The sequence below is a fragment of the Homo sapiens genome, chromosome 3 (genome assembly GCF_000001405.40).
Source record: "Homo sapiens chromosome 3, GRCh38.p14 Primary Assembly".
Taxonomy (NCBI): Eukaryota; Metazoa; Chordata; class Mammalia; order Primates; family Hominidae; genus Homo; species Homo sapiens.
Window position 1 is genome coordinate 91,905,443 of NC_000003.12, and position 18,810 is coordinate 91,924,252.

Here is an 18,810-nt window from a genome sequence, read left to right on the forward strand (position 1 = left end):
AGACAGAAGACTTCTCAGTAACTGCTTTTTCTGGTGTGTATTCAACTCTCAGAGTTGAACTTTCCTTTAGAAACAGCAGATTTGAAACTCTCTTTTTGTGGAATTTGCAAGTGGAGATTTCAAAGCTTTGAGGCCAGTGGTAGAAAAGGAAATATCTTTGTATGCAAACTAGACAGAATCATTCTCAGAAACTACTTTGGTACGTGTGTGTTCAACTCACAGTGTTTAACCTTTCTTTTCATAGAGCAGTTTGGAAACACTCAGTTTGTAAAGTCAGCAACTGGATATGTGGATGTATTTGAGGCCTTCGTTGGAAACGGGATTTCTTCCTATAATGCGAGACAGAAGAATTCTCAGTAACTTCTTTGTGTTGTGGGTATTCAACTCACAGAGTTGAAGCTTCCTTTAGGCGGAGCAGATTGGAAACACTTTTTGTGGAATTTTCAGGGGGAGACTTCAAGCGCTTTGAGGCCAACGGTAGAAAAGGAAATATCTTCGTATAAAAACTAGACGGAGTCATTCTCAGAAACTACTTTGTGATGTTTGCGTTCAACTCACAGAGTTTAACGTTTCTTTTCATAGAGCAGTTTGGAAACACTCTTTTTGCAGAATCTGCAAGTGGATATTTGGACCTCTTTGTGGCCTTCGTTGGGAACGGGATTTTTCATATAATGCTAGACAGAAGAATTCTCAGTAACTTCTTTTTGTGGTGTGTATTCAACTCACAGAGTGGAACCTTCCTTTAGACAGAGCAGATTTGAAACTCTCTTTTCGTGGAATTTGCAAGTGGAGATTTCAGGCGCTTTGAGGCCAACGGTAGAAAAGGAAATATCTTCGTAGAAAAAATAGACGGAATCATTCTCAGAAACTGCTTTGGGATGTGTGCATTGAACTCACAGTGTTTAACACTTCTTTTCATAGAGCACTTTGGAAACACTCAGTTTGAAATGTCTGCAGCTGGATATTTGGACCTCTTTGAGGCCTTCGTAGTAAACGGGATTTCTTCGTGTAATGATAGACAATAGAATTCTCAGTGAATTTTTTTTCTGTGTGTGTGTATTCAACTCACAGGGTTGAACCTTCCTTTAGACAGTGCAGATTTGAAACACTTGTCTGTGGAATTTGCAAGGGGAGATTTCAAGCACTTTGAGGCCATTGGTGGAAAAGGAAATATCTTCGTATGAAAACTAGACAGAATCATTCTCAGGAACTACTTTGTGATAGGTGCATTCAACTCACAGAGTTTAACCTTTCTTTTCATAGATGAGTTTGGAAACAGTCAGTTTGTAAATTCTGCAACTGGATATTTGGACCTCTTTGAGGCTTTCGTTGGAAACGGGATTTCTTCACATAATGCTAGACAGAAGAATTCTCAGTAACTTCTTTTGGGATGTATGTATTCAAATCAGAGAGTTGAACCTTCCTTTAGACAGAGCGGATTGGAAACACTCTTTTTGTGGAATTTGCAAGTGGAAAATTCTAGCAGTATGAGGCCAATGGTACAAAAGGAAATATCTTCGTATAAAAACTAGACAGTATCATTCTCAGAAACTGCTTTGTGATGTGTGTATTAAACTCACAGAGTTGAACATTTCTTTGCATAGAGCAGTTTGGAAAGACTTAGTTTGTGCAGTGTGCAAGTGGATATTTGGAACTCTTTGAGGCCTTCGTTGGAAACGGGATTTCTTCTTATAATTCTTGACAAAAGAATTCTCAGTAGCTTCTTTGTGTGTGTGTATTCAACTCACAGAGTTGAACCTTCCTTTAGACAGAGCAGATTGGAAACACTCTTTTTGTGGATTTTGCAAGTGGAGAATTCTAGCGCTTTGACGCCAATGGTAGAAAGGAAATATCTTCGTATAAAAACTAGACAGTTATCATTCTCAGAAGCTACTTTGTGATGTGTGCGTTCAACTCACAGAGTTTAACCTTTCTTTTCATAGAGCAGTTTGGAAACCCTCTGTTTGTGAAGTCTGCAAGTGGATATTTAAACGTCTTTGAGGCCTTCGTTGGAAACGGGATTTGTTCCTATAAACCAGGACAGAAGAATTCTCAGAAACTTCTTGATTGTTATGTGTGCATTCAACTCACAGAGTTGAACCTTACTTTGGAAAGAGCAGTTTTCTAACACTCTTTTTGTAAAAGTTCCAAGTGAATACTTTGAGTGCTTTGAAGCCTACGGTTGACAACGAAATATCTTCATGTAAAAACTACAAAGAATCATTCGCAGAAACCACGTTGTGATCTCTGCATTCAACTCACAGAGTTCAACCTTTCTTCCTATAGAGCAGTTATGAAACAGTCTCTTTGTAGAATTTGCAAGGGTGTATTTAGAGGGCATTGAAGCCTACGGTAGAAAAGGAAATATCTTACCATAAAATCTAGTCAGAAGCATTCTCAGAAACTGAGTTGTGATGTTTGCCATTCAACTCACAGAGTTCAACATTCCTTTTCATGGAGCGGTTTTGAAACACTCTTTTTGCAGAATCTGCAAGTGGATATTTGGACCTCTTTGAGGCCTTCGTTGAAAACGGGATTTCTTCATGTAATGCCAGACAGACGAATTCTCAGTAACTTCTTTGCGTTGTGTGTATTCAACTCACAGAGTTGAACCTTCCTTTAGACAGAGAAGATTTGAAACACTCTTTTTTTGGAATTTGCAAGTGGAGATTTCAGGCGCTTTGAGGCCAATGGTAGAAAAGGAAATATCTTCGTATAAAAACTAGACAGATATCATTCTCAGTAAACTACTTTGTGATGTGTGCGTTCAACTCACAGTAGTTTAACCTTTCTTTTCATAGAGCAGTTTGGAAACACTCTGTTTGTGAAGTCTGCAAGTGGATATTTAAACGTCTTTGAGGCCTTCGTTGGAAACGGGATTTCTTCATATAAACCAGGACAGAAGAATTCTCGGAAACTTCTTGTTTGTTATGTGTGCATTCAACTCACAGAGTTGAACCTTACTTTGGAAAGAGCAGTTTTCTAACACTCTTTTTGTAAAAGTTCCAAGTGAATACTTTGAGTGCTTTGAAGCCTACGGTAGACAACGAAATATCTTCATGTAAAAACTACAAAGAATCATTCGCAGAAACCACGTTGTGATCTCTGCATTCAACTCACAGAGTTGAACCTTTCCTCCTATAGAGCAGTTATGAAACAGTCTCTTTGTTGAATTTGCAAGGGTGTATTTACAGGGCATTGAAGCCTACGGTAGAAAAGGAAATATCTTACCATAAAATCTAGTCAGAAGCATTCTCAGAAACTGAGTTGTGATGTTTGCATTCAACTCACAGAGTTCAACATTCCTTTTAATGGAGCGGTTTTGAAACACTCTTTTTGCAGAATCTGCAAGTGGATATTTGGACCTCTTTGAGGCCTTCGTTGGAAACGGGATTTCTTCATGTAATGCCAGACAGAAGAATTCTCAGTGAATTCTTTCTGTGTGTGTGTATTCAACTCACGGAGTTGAACGTTCCTTTAGACAGAGTAGATTGGAAACACTCTTTTTGTGGAATTTTCAGGTGGAGGTATCAAGCGCTTTGAGGCCAATGATAGAAAAGGAAATACCTTCGTATAATAATTAGACGGAATCATTCTCAGAAACTGCTTTGCAATGTGTGCGTTCAACTCACAGTGTTTAACCTTTCTTTTCATACAGTTTTGTTTCGAAACACTCTTTTTGCAGAATCTGCAAGTGGATATTTGGACCTCTTTGAAGTCTTCGTTGGAAATGGGATTTCTTCATATAATGCTAGACAGAAGACTTCTCAGTAACTGCTTTTTCTGGTGTGTATTCAACTCTCAGAGTTGAACTTTCCTTTAGAAACAGCAGATTTGAAACTCTCTTTTTGTGGAATTTGCAAGTGGAGATTTCAGAGCTTTGAGGCCAATGGTAGAAAAGGAAATATCTTCGTATGCAAACTAGACAGAATCATTCTCAGAAACTACTTTGGTACGTGTGTGTTCAACTCACAGTGTTTAACTTTTCTTTTCATAGAGCAGTTTGGAAACACTCAGTTTGTAAAGTCAGCAACTGGATATTTGGATGTATTTGAGGCCTTCGTTGGAAACGGGATTTCTTCATATAATGCTAGACAGAAGAATTCTCAGTAACTTCTTTGGGTTGTGGGTATTCAACTCACAGAGTTGAAGCTTCCTTTAGGCGGAGCAGATTGGAAACACTTTTTGTGGAATTTTCAGGGGGAGACTTCAAGCGCTTTGAAGTGAATGGTAGGAAAGGAAATATCTTCGTATAAAAACTAGACGTAGTCATTCTCAGTAAACTACTTTGTGATGTTTGCGTTCAACTCACAGAGTTTAACGTTTCTTTTCATAGAGCAGTTTGGAAACACTCTTTTTGCAGAATCTGCAAGTGGATATTTGGACCTCTTTGTGGCCTTCGTTGGAAACGGGATTTTTCATATAATGCTAGACAGAAGAATTCTCAGTAACTTCTTTTTGTGGTGTGTATTCAACTCACAGAGTTGAACCTTCCTTTAGACAGAGCAGATTTGAAACTCTCTTTTTGTGGAATTTGCAAGTGGAGATTTCAAGCGCTTTGAGGCCAACGGCAGAAAAGGAAATATCTTCGTAGAAAAAATAGACGGAATCATTCTCAGAAACTGCTTTGGGATGTGTGCATTGAACTCACAGTGTTTAACACTTCTTTTCATAGAGCACTTTGGAAACACTCAGTTTGTAATGTCTGCAGCTGGATATTTGGACCTCTTTGAGGCCTTCGTAGTAAACGGGATTTCTTCGTGTAATGATAGACAATAGAATTCTCAGTGAATTTTTTTCTGTGTGTGTGTATTCAACTCACAGGGTTGAACCTTCCTTTAGACAGTGCAGATTTGAAACACTTGTCTGTGGAATTTGCAAGGGGAGATTTCAAGCACTTTGAGGCCATTGGTGGAAAAGGAAATATCTTCGTATGAAAACTAGACAGAATCATTCTCAGGAACTACTTTGTGATATGTGCATTCAACTCACAGAGTTTAACCTTTCTTTTCATAGATGAGTTTGGAAACAGTCAGTTTGTAAATTCTGCAACTGGATATTTGGACCTCTTTGAGGCTTTCGTTGGAAACGGGATTTCTTCACATAATGCTAGACAGAAGAATTCTCAGTAACTTCTTTTGGGATGTATGTATTCAAATCAGAGAGTTGAACCTTCCTTTAGACAGAGCGGATTGGAAACACTCTTTTTGTGGAATTTGCAAGTGGAAAATTCTAGCAGTATGAGGCCAATGGTACAAAAGGAAATATCTTCGTATAAAAACTAGACAGTATCATTCTCAGAAACTGCTTTGTGATGTGTGTATTAAACTCACAGAGTTGAACATTTCTTTGCATAGAGCAGTTTGGAAAGACTTAGTTTGTGCAGTGTGCAAGTGGATATTTGGAACTCTTTGAGGCCTTCGTTGGAAACGGGATTTCTTCTTATAATTTCTTGACAAAAGAATTCTCAGTAGCTTCTTTGTGTGTGTGTATTCAACTCACAGAGTTGAACCTTCCTTTAGACAGAGCAGATTGGAAACACTCTTTTTGTGGAATTTGCAAGTGGAGAATTCTAGCGCTTTGACGCCAATGGTAGAAAGGAAATATCTTCGTATAAAAACTAGACAGTATCATTCTCAGAAGCTACTTTGTGATGTGTGCGTTCAACTCACAGAGTTTAACCTTTCTTTTCATAGAGCAGTTTGGAAACCCTCTGTTTGTGAAGTCTGCAAGTGGATATTTAAACGTCTTTGAGGCCTTCGTTGGAAACGGGATTTTTTCATATAAACCAGGACAGAAGAATTCTCAGAAACTTCTTGATTGTTATGTGTGCATTCAACTCACAGAGTTGAACCTTACTTTGGAAAGAGCAGTTTTCTAACACTCTTTTTGTAAAAGTTCCAAGTGAATACTTTGAGTGCTTTGAAGCCTACGGTTGACAACGAAATATCTTCATGTAAAAACTACAAAGAATCATTCGCAGAAACCACGTTGTGATCTCTGCATTCAACTCACAGTGTTGAACCTTTCTTCCTATAGAGCAGTTATGAAACAGTCTCTTTGTAGAATTTGCAAGGGTGTATTAAGAGGGCATTGAAGCCTACGGTAGAAAAGGAAATATCTTACCATAAAATCTAGTCAGAAGCATTCTCAGAAACTGAGTTGTGATGTTTGCATTCAACTCACAGAGTTCAACATTCCTTTTAATGGAGCGGTTTTGAAACACTCTTTTTGCAGAATCTGCAAGTGGATATTTGGACCTCTTTGAGGCCTTCGTTGGAAACGGGATTTCTTCATGTAATGCCAGACAGAAGAATTCTCAGTGAATTCTTTCTGTGTGTGTGTATTCAACTCACAGAGTTGAACGTTCCTTTAGACAGAGTAGATTGGAAACACTCTTTTTGTGGAATTTTCAGGTGGAGGTATCAAGCGCTTTGAGGCCAATGATAGAAAAGGAAATACCTTCGTATAATAATTAGACGGAATCATTCTCAGAAACTGCTTTGCAATGTGTGCGTTCAACTCACAGTGTTTAACCTTTCTTTTCATACAGTTGTTTCGAAACACTCTTTTTGCAGAATCTGCAAGTGGATATTTGGACCTCTTTGAAGTCTTCGTTGGAAATGGGATTTCTTCATATAATGCTAGACAGAAGACTTCTCAGTAACTGCTTTTTCTGGTGTGTATTCAACTCTCAGAGTTGAACTTTCCTTTAGAAACAGCAGAGTTGAAACTCTCTTTTTGTGGAATTTGCAAGTGGAGATTTCAAAGCTTTGAGGCCAATGGTAGAAAAGGAAATATCTTCGTATGCAAACTAGACAGAATCATTCTCAGAAACTACTTTGGTACGTGTGTGTTCAAGTCACAGTGTTTAACCTTTCTTTTCATAGAGCAGTTTGGAAACACTCAGTTTGTAAAGTCAGCAACTGGATATTTGGATGTATTTGAGGCCTTCGTTGGAAACGGGATTTCTTCATATAATGCTAGACAGAAGAATTCTCAGTAACTTCTTTGGGTTGTGGGTATTCAACTCACAGAGTTGAAGCTTCCTTTAGGCGGAGCAGATTGGAAACACTTTTTGTGGAATTTTCAGGGGGAGACTTCAAGCGCTTTGAAGTGAATGGTAGAAAAGGAAATATCTTCGTATAAAAACTAGACGGAGTCATTCTCAGAAACTACTTTGTGATGTTTGCGTTCAACTCACAGAGTTTAACGTTTCTTTTCATAGAGCAGTTTGGAAACACTCTTTTTGCAGAATCTGCAAGTGGATATTTGGACCTCTTTGTGGCCTTCGTTGGAAACGGGATTTTTCATATAATGCTAGACAGAAGAATTCTCAGTAACTTCTTTTTGTGGTGTGTATTCAACTCACAGAGTTGAACCTTCCTTTAGACAGAGCAGATTTGAAACTCTCTTTTTGTGGAATTTGCAAGTGGAGATTTCAAGCGCTTTGAGGCCAACGGTAGAAAAGGAAATATCTTCGTAGAAAAAATAGACGTAATCATTCTCAGAAACTGCTTTGGGATGTGTGCATTGAACTCACAGTGTTTAACACTTCTTTTCATAGAGCACTTTGGAAACACTCAGTTTGTAATGTCTGCAGCTGGATATTTGGACCTCTTTGAGGCCTTCGTAGTAAACGGGATTTCTTCGTGTAATGATAGACAATAGAATTCTCAGTGAATTTGTTTCTGTGTGTGTGTATTCAACTCACAGGGTTGAACCTTCCTTTAGACAGTGCAGATTTGAAACACTTGTCTGTGGAATTTGCAAGGGGAGATTTCAAGCACTTTGAGGCCATTGGTGGAAAAGGAAATATCTTCGTATAAAAACTAGACAGAATCATTCTCAGGGACTACTTTGTGATATGTGCATTCAACTCCCAGAGTTTAACCTTTCTTTTCATAGATGAGTTTGGAAACAGTCAGTTTGTAAATTCTGCAACTGGATATTTGGACCTCTTTGAGGCTTTCGTTGGAAACGGGATTTCTTCACATAATGCTAGACAGAAGAATTCTCAGTAACTTCTTTTGGGATGTATGTATTCAAATCAGAGAGTTGAACCTTCCTTTAGACAGAGCGGATTGGAAACACTCTTTTTGTGGAATTTGCAAGTGGAAAATTCTAGCAGTATGAGGCCAATGGTACAAAAGGAAATATGTTCGTATAAAAACTAGACAGTATCATTCTCAGAAACTGCTTTGTGATGTGTGTATTAAACTCACAGAGTTGAACATTTCTTTGCATAGAGCAGTTTGGAAAGACTTAGTTTGTGCAGTGTGCAAGTGGATATTTGGAACTACTTTGAGGCCTTCGTTGGAAACGGGATTTCTTCTTATAATTCTTGACAAAAGAATTCTCAGTAGCTTCTTTGTGTGTGTGTATTCAACTCACAGAGTTGAACCTTCCTTTAGACAGAGCAGATTGGAAACACTCTTTTTGTGGAATTTGCAAGTGGAGAATTCTAGCGCTTTGACGCCAATGGTAGAAAGGAAATATCTTCGTATAAAAACTAGACAGTATCATTCTCAGAAGCTACTTTGTGATGTGTGCGTTCAACTCACAGAGTTTAACCTTTCTTTTCATAGAGCAGTTTGGAAACCCTCTGTTTGTGAAGTCTGCAAGTGGATATTTAAACGTCTTTGAGGCCTTCGTTGGAAACGGGATTTTTTCATATAAACCAGGACAGAAGAATTCTCAGAAACTTCTTGATTGTTATGTGTGCATTCAACTCACAGAGTTGAACCTTACTTTGGAAAGAGCAGTTTTCTAACACTCTTTTTGTAAAAGTTCCAAGTGAATACTTTGAGTGCTTTGAAGCCTACGGTTGACAACGAAATATCTTCATGTAAAAACTACAAAGAATCATTCGCAGAAACCACGTTGTGATCTCTGCATTCAACTCACAGAGTTCAACCTTTCTTCCTATAGAGCAGTTATGAAACAGTCTCTTTGTAGAATTTGCAAGGGTGTATTTAGAGGGCATTGAAGCCTACGGTAGAAAAGGAAATATCTTACCATAAAATCTAGTCAGAAGCATTCTCAGAAACTGAGTTGTGATGTTTGCATTCAACTCACAGAGTTCAACATTCCTTTTAATGGAGCGGTTTTGAAACACTCTTTGTGCAGAATCTGCAAGTGGATATTTGGACCTCTTTGAGGCCTTTGTTGGAAACGGGATTTCTTCATGTAATGCCAGACAGAAGGAATTCTCAGTGAATTCTTTCTGTGTGTGTGTATTCAACTCACAGAGTTGAACGTTCCTTTAGACAGAGTAGATTGGAAACACTCTTTTTGTGGAATTTTCAGGTGGAGGTATCAAGCGCTTTGAGGCCAATGATAGAAAAGGAAATACCTTCGTATAATAATTAGACGGAATCATTCTCAGAAACTGCTTTGCAATGTGTGCGTTCAACTCACAGTGTTTAACCTTTCTTTTCATACAGTTGTTTCGAAACACTCTTTTTGCAGAATCTGCAAGTGGATATTTGGACCTCTTTGAAGTCTTCGTTGGAAATGGGATTTCTTCATATAATGCTAGACAGAAGACTTCTCAGTAACTGCTTTTTCTGGTGTGTATTCAACTCTCAGAGTTGAACTTTCCTTTAGAAACAGCAGAGTTGAAACTCCCTTTTTGTGGAATTTGCAAGTGGAGATTTCAAAGCTTTGAGGCCAATGGTAGAAAAGGAAATATCTTCGTATGCAAACTAGACAGAATCATTCTCAGAAACTACTTTGGTACGTGTGTGTTCAACTCACAGTGTTTAACCTTTCTTTTCATAGAGCAGTTTGGAAACACTCAGTTTGTAAAGTCAGCAACTGGATATTTGGATGTATTTGAGGCCTTCGTTGGAAACGGGATTTCTTCATATAATGCTAGACAGAAGAATTCTCAGTAACTTCTTTGGGTTGTGGGTATTCAAGTCACAGAGTTGAAGCTTCCTTTAGGCGGAGCAGATTGGAAACACTTTTTGTGGAATTTTCAGGGGGAGACTTCAAGCGCTTTGAAGTGAATGGTAGGAAAGGAAATATCTTCGTATAAAAACTAGACGGAGTCATTCTCAGAAACTACTTTGTGATGTTTGCGTTCAACTCACAGAGTTTAACGTTTCTTTTCATAGAGCAGTTTGGAAACACTCTTTTTGCAGAATCTGCAAGTGGATATTTGGACCTCTTTGTGGCCTTCGTTGGAAACGGGATTTTTCATATAATGCTAGACAGAAGAATTCTCAGTAACTTCTTTTTGTGGTGTGTATTCAACTCACAGAGTTGAACCTTCCTTTAGACAGAGCAGATTTGAAACTCTCTTTTTGTGGAATTTGCAAGTGGAGATTTCAAGCGCTTTGAGGCCAACGGCAGAAAAGGAAACTATCTTCGTAGAAAAAATAGACGGAATCATTCTCAGAAACTACTTTGTGATGTGTGCGTTCAACTCACAGTGTTTAACACTTCTTTTCATACAGCACTTTGGAAACACTCAGTTTGTAAGGTTTGCAACTGGATATTTGGACCTCTTTGAGGCCTTCGCAGTAAACGGGATTTCTTCGTGTAATGATAGACAGTAGAATTCTCAGTGAATTTTTTTCTGTGTGTGTGTATTCAACTCACAGGGTTGAACCTTCCTTTAGACAGTGCAGATTTGAAACACTTGTCTGTGGAATTTGCAAGGGGAGATTTCAAGCACTTTGAGGCCATTGGTGGAAAAGGAAATATCTTCGTATAAAAACTAGACAGAATCATTCTCAGGAACTACTTTGTGATATGTGCATTCAACTCACAGAGTTTAACCTTTCTTTTCATAGATGAGTTTGGAAACAGTCAGTTTGTAAATTCTGCAACTGGATATTTGGACCTCTTTCAGGCTTTCGTTGGAAACGGGATTTCTTCACATAATGCTAGACAGAAGAATTCTCAGTAACTTCTTTTGGGATGTATGTATTCAAATCAGAGAGTTGAACCTTCCTTTAGACAGAGCGGATTGGAAACACTCTTTTTGTGGAATTTGCAAGTGGAAAATTCTAGCAGTATGAGGCCAATGGTACAAAAGGAAATATCTTCGTATAAAAACTAGACAGTATCATTCTCAGAAACTGCTTTGTGATGTGTGTATTAAACTCACAGAGTTGAACATTTCTTTGCATAGAGCAGTTTGGAAAGACTTAGTTTGTGCAGTGTGCAAGTGGATATTTGGAACTCTTTGAGGCCTTCGTTGGAAACGGGATTTCTTCTTATAATTCTTGACAAAAGAATTCTCAGTAGCTTCTTTGTGTGTGTGTATTCAACTCACAGAGTTGAACCTTCCTTTAGACAGAGCAGATTGGAAACACTCTTTTTGTGGAATTTGCAAGTGGAGAATTCTAGTGCTTTGACGCCAATGGTAGAAAGGAAATATCTTCGTATAAAAACTAGACAGTATCATTCTCAGAAGCTACTTTGTGATGTGTGCGTTCAACTCACAGAGTTTAACCTTTCTTTTCATAGAGCAGTTTGGAAACCCTCTGTTTGTGAAGTCTGCAAGTGGATATTTAAACGTCTTTGAGGCCTTCGTTGGAAACGGGATTTTTTCATATAAACCAGGACAGAAGAATTCTCAGAAACTTCTTGATTGTTATGTGTGCATTCAACTCACAGAGTTGAACCTTACTTTGGAAAGAGCAGTTTTCTAACACTCTTTTTGTAAAAGTTCCAAGTGAATACTTTGAGTGCTTTGTAGCCTACGGTAGACAACGAAATATCTTCATGTAAAAACTACAAAGAATCATTCGCAGAAACCACGTTGTGATCTCTGCATTCAACTCACAGAGTTGAACCTTTCTTCCTATAGAGCAGTTATGAAACAGTCTCTTTGTAGAAATTGCAAGGGTGTATTTAGAGGGCATTGAAGCCTACGGTAGAAAAGGAAATATCTTACTATAAAATCTAGTCAGAAGCATTCTCAGAAACTGAGTTGTGATGTTTGCATTCAACTCACAGAGTTCAACATTCCTTTTCATAGAGCGGTTTTGAAACACTCTTTTTCCAGAATCTGCAAGTGGATATTTGGACCTCTTTGAGGCCTTCGTTGGAAACGGGATTTCTTCATGTAATCCCAGACAGAAGAACTCTCAGTGAATTCTTTCTGTGTGTGTGTACTCAACTCACAGAGTTGAACGTTCCTTTAGACAGAGTAGATTGGAAACACTCTTTTTGTGGAATGTTCACGTGGAGGTATCAAGCGCTTTGAGGCCCATGATAGAAAAGGAAATACCTTCGTATAATAATTAGATGGAATCATTCTCAGAAACTGCTTTGCAATGTGTGCCTTCAACTCACAGTGTTTAACCTTTCTTTTCATACAGTTGTTTCGAAACACCCTTTTTGCGGAATCTGGAAGTGGATATTTGGACCTCTTTGAAGTCTTCGTTGAAAATGGGATTTCTTCATATAATGCTAGACAGAAGACTTCTCAGTAACTGCTCTTTCTGGTGTGTATTCAACTCTCAGAGTTGAACTTTCCTTTAGAAACAGCAGAGTTGAAACTCTCTTTTTGTGGAATTTGCAAGTGGAGATTTCAAAGCTTTGAGGCCAATGGTAGAAAAGGAAATATCTTCGTATGCAAACTAGACAGAATCATTCTCAGAAACTACTTTGGTACGTGTGTGTTCAACTCACAGTGTTTAACCTTTCTTTTCATAGAGCAGTTTGGAAACACTCAGTTTGTAAAGTCAGCAACTGGATATTTGGATGTATTTGAGGCCTTCGTTGGAAACGGGATTTCTTCATATAGTGCTAGACAGAAGAATTCTCAGTAACTTCTTTGGGTTGTGGGTATTCAACTCACAGAGTTGAAGCTTCCTTTAGGCGGAGCAGATTGGAAACACTTTTTGTGGAATTTTCAGGGGGAGACTTCAAGCGCTTTGAAGTGAATGGTAGAAAAGGAAATATCTTCGTATAAAAACTAGACGGAGTCATTCTCAGAAACTACTTTGTGATGTTTGCGTTCAACTCACAGAGTTTAACGTTTCTTTTCATAGAGCAGTTTGGAAACACTCTTTTTGCAGAATCTGCAAGTGGATATTTGGACCTCTTTGTGGCCTTCGTTGGAAACGGGATTTTTCATATAATGCTAGACAGAAGAATTCTCAGTAACTTCTTTTTGTGGTGTGTATTCAACTCACAGAGTTGAACCTTCCTTTAGACAGAGCAGATTTGAAACTCTCTTTTTGTGGAATTTGCAAGTGGAGATTTCAAGCGCTTTGAGGCCAACGGTAGAAAAGGAAATATCTTCGTAGAAAAAATAGACGGAATCATTCTCAGAAACTGCTTTGGGATGTGTGCATTGAACTCACAGTGTTTAACACTTCTTTTCATAGAGCACTTTGGAAACACTCAGTTTGTAATGTCTGCAGCTGGATATTTGGACCTCTTTGAGGCCTTCGTAGTAAACGGGATTTCTTCGTGTAATGATAGACAATAGAATTCTCAGTGAATTTTTTTCTGTGTGTGTGTATTCAACTCACAGGGTTGAACCTTCCTTTAGACAGTGCGGATTTGAAACACTTGTCTGTGGAATTTGCAAGGGGAGATTTCAAGCACTTTGAGGCCATTGGTGGAAAAGGAAATATCTTCGTATGAAAACTAGACAGAATCATTCTCAGGAACTACTTTGTGATATGTGCATTCAACTCACAGAGTTTAACCTTTCTTTTCATAGATGAGTTTGGAAACAGTCAGTTTGTAAATTCTGCAACTGGATATTTGGACCTCTTTGAGGCTTTCGTTGGAAACGGGATTTCTTCACATAATGCTAGACAGAAGAATTCTCAGTAAATTCTTTTGGGATGTATGTATTCAAATCAGAGAGTTGAACCTTCCTTTAGACAGAGCGGATTGGAAACACTCTTTTTGTGGAATTTGCAAGTGGAAAATTCTAGCAGTATGAGGCCAATGGTACAAAAGGAAATATCTTCGTATAAAAACTAGACAGTATCATTCTCAGAAACTGCTTTGTGATGTGTGTATTAAACTCACAGAGTTGAACATTTCTTTGCATAGAGCAGTTTGGAAAGACTTAGTTTGTGCAGTGTGCAAGTGGATATTTGGAACTCTTTGAGGCCTTCGTTGGAAACGGGATTTCTTCTTATAATTCTTGACAAAAGAATTCTCAGTAGCTTCTTTGTGTGTGTGTATTCAACTCACAGAGTTGAACCTTCCTTTAGACAGAGCAGATTGGAAACACTCTTTTTGTGGAATTTGCAAGTGGAGAATTCTAGCGCTTTGACGCCAATGGTAGAAAGGAAATATCTTCGTATAAAAACTAGACAGTATCATTCTCAGAAACTACTTTGTGATGTGTGCGTTCAACTCACAGAGTTTAACCTTTCTTTTCATAGAGCAGTTTGGAAACACTCTGTTTGTGAAGTCTGCAAGTGGATATTTAAACGTCTTTGAGGCCTTCGTTGGAAACGGGATTTGTTCATATAAACCAGGACAGAAGAATTCTCAGAAACTTCTTGATTGTTATGTGTGCATTCAACTCACAGAGTTGAACCTTACTTTGGAAAGAGCAGTTTTCTAACACTCTTTTTGTAAAAGTTCCAAGTGAATACTTTGAGTGCTTTGAAGCCTACGGTTGACAACGAAATATCTTCATGTAAAAACTACAAAGAATCATTCGCAGAAACCACGTTGTGATCTCTGCATTCAACTCACAGAGTTCAACCTTTCTTCCTATAGAGCAGTTATGAAACAGTCTCTTTGTAGAATTTGCAAGGGTGTATTTAGAGGGCATTGAAGCCTACGGTAGAAAAGGAAATATCTTACCATAAAATCTAGTCAGAAGCATTCTCAGCAACTGAGTTGTGATGTTTGCATTCAACTCACAGAGTTCAACATTCCTTTTCATGGAGCGGTTTTGAAACACTCTTTTTGCAGAATCTGCAAGTGGATATTTGGACCTCTTTGAGGCCTTCGTTGGAAACGGGATTTCTTCATGTAATGCCAGACAGAAGAATTCTCAGTAACTTCTTTTTGTGGTGTGTATTCAACTCACAGAGTTGAACCTTCCTTTAGACAGAGCAGATTTGAAACTCTCTTTTTGTGGAATTTGCAAGTGGAGATTTCAAGCGCTTTGAGGCCAACGGCAGAAAAGGAAATATCTTCGTAGAAAAAATAGACGGAATCATTCTCAGAAACTGCTTTGGGATGTGTGCATTGAACTCACAGTGTTTAACACTTCTTTTCATAGAGCACTTTGGAAACACTCAGTTTGTAATGTCTGCAGCTGGATATTTGGACCTCTTTGAGGCCTTCGTAGTAAACGGGATTTCTTCGTGTAATGATAGACAATAGAATTCTCAGTGAATTTTTTTCTGTGTGTGTGTATTCAACTCACAGGGTTGAACCTTCCTTTAGACAGTGCAGATTTGAAACACTTGTCTGTGGAATTTGCAAGGGGAGATTTCAAGCACTTTGAGGCCATTGGTGGAAAAGGAAATATCTTCGTATGAAAACTAGACAGAATCATTCTCAGGAACTACTTTGTGATATGTGCATTCAACTCACAGAGTTTAACCTTTCTTTTCATAGATGAGTTTGGAAACAGTCAGTTTGTAAATTCTGCAACTGGATATTTGGACCTCTTTGAGGCTTTCGTTGGAAACGGGATTTCTTCACATAATGCTAGACAGAAGAATTCTCAGTAACTTCTTTTGGGATGTATGTATTCAAATCAGAGAGTTGAACCTTCCTTTAGACAGAGCGGATTGGAAACACTCTTTTTGTGGAATTTGCAAGTGGAAAATTCTAGCAGTATGAGGCCAATGGTACAAAAGGAAATATCTTCGTATAAAAACTAGACAGTATCATTCTCAGAAACTGCTTTGTGATGTGTGTATTAAACTCACAGAGTTGAACATTTCTTTGCATAGAGCAGTTTGGAAAGACTTAGTTTGTGCAGTGTGCAAGTGGATATTTGGAACTCTTTGAGGCCTTCGTTGGAAACGGGATTTCTTCTTATAATTCTTGACAAAAGAATTCTCAGTAGCTTCTTTGTGTGTGTGTATTCAACTCACAGAGTTGAACCTTCCTTTAGACAGAGCAGATTGGAAACACTCTTTTTGTGGAATTTGCAAGTGGAGAATTCTAGCGCTTTGACGCCAATGGTAGAAAGGAAATATCTTCGTATAAAAACTAGACAGTATCATTCTCAGAAGCTACTTTGTGATGTGTGCGTTCAACTCACAGAGTTTAACCTTTCTTTTCATAGAGCAGTTTGGAAACACTCTGTTTGTGAAGTCTGCAAGTGGATATTTAAACGTCTTTGAGGCCTTCGTTGGAAACGGGATTTTTTCATATAAACCAGGACAGAAGGATTCTCAGAAACTTCTTGTTTGTTATGTGTGCATTCAACTCACAGAGTTGAACCTTACTTTGGAAAGAGCAGTTTTCTAACACTCTTTTTGTAAAAGTTCCAAGTGAATACTTTGAGTGCTTTGAAGCCTACGGTAGACAACGAAATATTCTTCATGTAAAAACTACAAAGAATCATTCGCAGAAACCACGTTGTGATCTCTGCATTCAACTCACAGAGTTGAACCTTTCTTCCTATAGAGCAGTTATGAAACAGTCTCTTTGTAGAATTTGCAAGGGTGTATTTAGAGGGCATTGAAGCCTACGGTAGAAAAGGAAATATCTTACCATAAAATCTAGTCAGAAGCATTCTCAGCAACTGAGTTGTGATGTTTGCATTCAACTCACAGAGTTCAACATTCCTTTTAATGGAGCGGTTTTGAAACACTCTTTTTGCAGAATCTGCAAGTGGATATTTGGACCTCTTTGAGGCCTTCGTTGGAAACGGGATTTCTTCATGTAATGCCAGACAGAAGAATTCTCAGTGAATTCTTTCTGTGTGTGTGTATTCAACTCACAGAGTTGAACGTTCCTTTAGACAGAGTAGATTGGAAACACTCTTTTTGTGGAATTTTCAGGTGGAGGTATCAAGCGCTTTGAGGCCAATGATAGAAAAGGAAATACCTTCGTATAATAATTAGACGGAATCATTCTCAGAAACTGCTTTGCAATGTGTGCGTTCAACTCACAGTGTTTAACCTTTCTTTTCATACAGTTGTTTCGAAACACTCTTTTTGCAGAATCTGCAAGTGGATATTTGGACCTCTTTGAAGTCTTCGTTGGAAATGGGATTTCTTCATATAATGCTAGACAGAAGACTTCTCAGTAACTGCTTTTTCTGGTGTGTATTCAACTCTCAGAGTTGAACTTTCCTTTAGAAACAGCAGATTTGAAACTCTCTTTTTGTGGAATTTGCAAGTGGAGATTTCAGAGCTTTGAGGCCAATGGTAGAAAAGGAAATATCTTCGTATGCAAACTAGGCAGAATCATTCTCAGAAACTACTTTGGTACGTGTGTGTTCAACTCACAGTGTTTAACCTTTCTTTTCATAGAGCAGTTTGGAAACACTCAGTTTGTAAAGTCAGCAACTGGATATTTGGATGTATTTGAGGCCTTCGTTGGAAACGGGATTTCTTCATATAATGCTAGACAGAAGAATTCTCAGTAACTTCTTTGGGTTGTGGGTATTCAAGTCACAGAGTTGAAGCTTCCTTTAGGCGGAGCAGATTGGAAACACTTTTTGTGGAATTTTCAGGGGGAGACTTCAAGCGCTTTGAAGTGAATGGTAGGAAAGGAAATATCTTCGTATAAAAACTAGACGGAGTCATTCTCAGAAACTACTTTGTGATGTTTGCGTTCAACTCACAGAGTTTAACGTTTCTTTTCATAGAGCAGTTTGGAAACACTCTTTTTGCAGAATCTGCAAGTGGATATTTGGACCTCTTTGTGGCCTTCGTTGGAAACGGGATTTTTCATATAATGCTAGACAGAAGAATTCTCAGTAACTTCTTTTTGTGGTGTGTATTCAACTCACAGAGTTGAACCTTCCTTTAGACAGAGCAGATTTGAAACTCTCTTTTTGTGGAATTTGCAAGTGGAGATTTCAAGCGCTTTGAGGCCAACGGCAGAAAAGGAAATATCTTCGTAGAAAAAATAGACGGAATCATTCTCAGAAACTGCTTTGGGATGTGTGCATTGAACTCACAGTGTTTAACACTTCTTTTCATAGAGCACTTTGGAAACACTCAGTTTGTAATGTCTGCAGCTGGATATTTGGACCTCTTTGAGGCCTTCGTAGTAAACGGGATTTCTTCGTGTAATGATAGACAATAGAATTCTCAGTGAATTTTTTTCTGTGTGTGTGTATTCAACTCACAGGGTTGAACCTTCCTTTAGACAGTGCAGATTTGAAACACTTGTCTGTGGAATTTGCAAGGGGAGATTTCAAGCACTTTGAGGCCATTGGTGGAAAAGGAAATATCTTCGTATAAAAACTAGACAGAATCATTCTCAGGAACTACTTTGTGATATGTGCATTCAACTCACAGAGTTTAACCTTTCTTTTCATAGATGAGTTTGGAAAGAGTCAGTTTGTAAATTCTGCAACTGGATATTTGGACCTCTTTGAGGCTTTCGTTGGAAACGGGATTTCTTCACATAATGCTAGACAGAAGAATTCTCAGTAACTTCTTTTGGGATGTATGTATTCAAATCAGAGAGTTGAACCTTCCTTTAGACAGAGCGGATTGGAAACACTCTTTTTGTGGAATTTGCAAGTGGAAAATTCTAGCAGTATGAGGCCAATGGTACAAAAGGAAATATCTTCGTATAAAAACTAGACAGTATCATTCTCAGAAACTGCTTTGTGATGTGTGTATTAAACTCACAGAGTTGAACATTTCTTTGCATAGAGCAGTTTGG

General features: G+C 38.3%; 1 annotated feature.

Annotated features, from left to right (window-relative positions):
- Nucleotides 1–18,810: part of a centromere (Linear centromere model derived predominantly from reads generated in PMID: 17803354. This region does not represent an actual centromere sequence, as long-range ordering of repeats and unmapped WGS contigs is not provided by the model. For details of model production, see http://arxiv.org/abs/1307.0035.) that runs on past both edges of the window.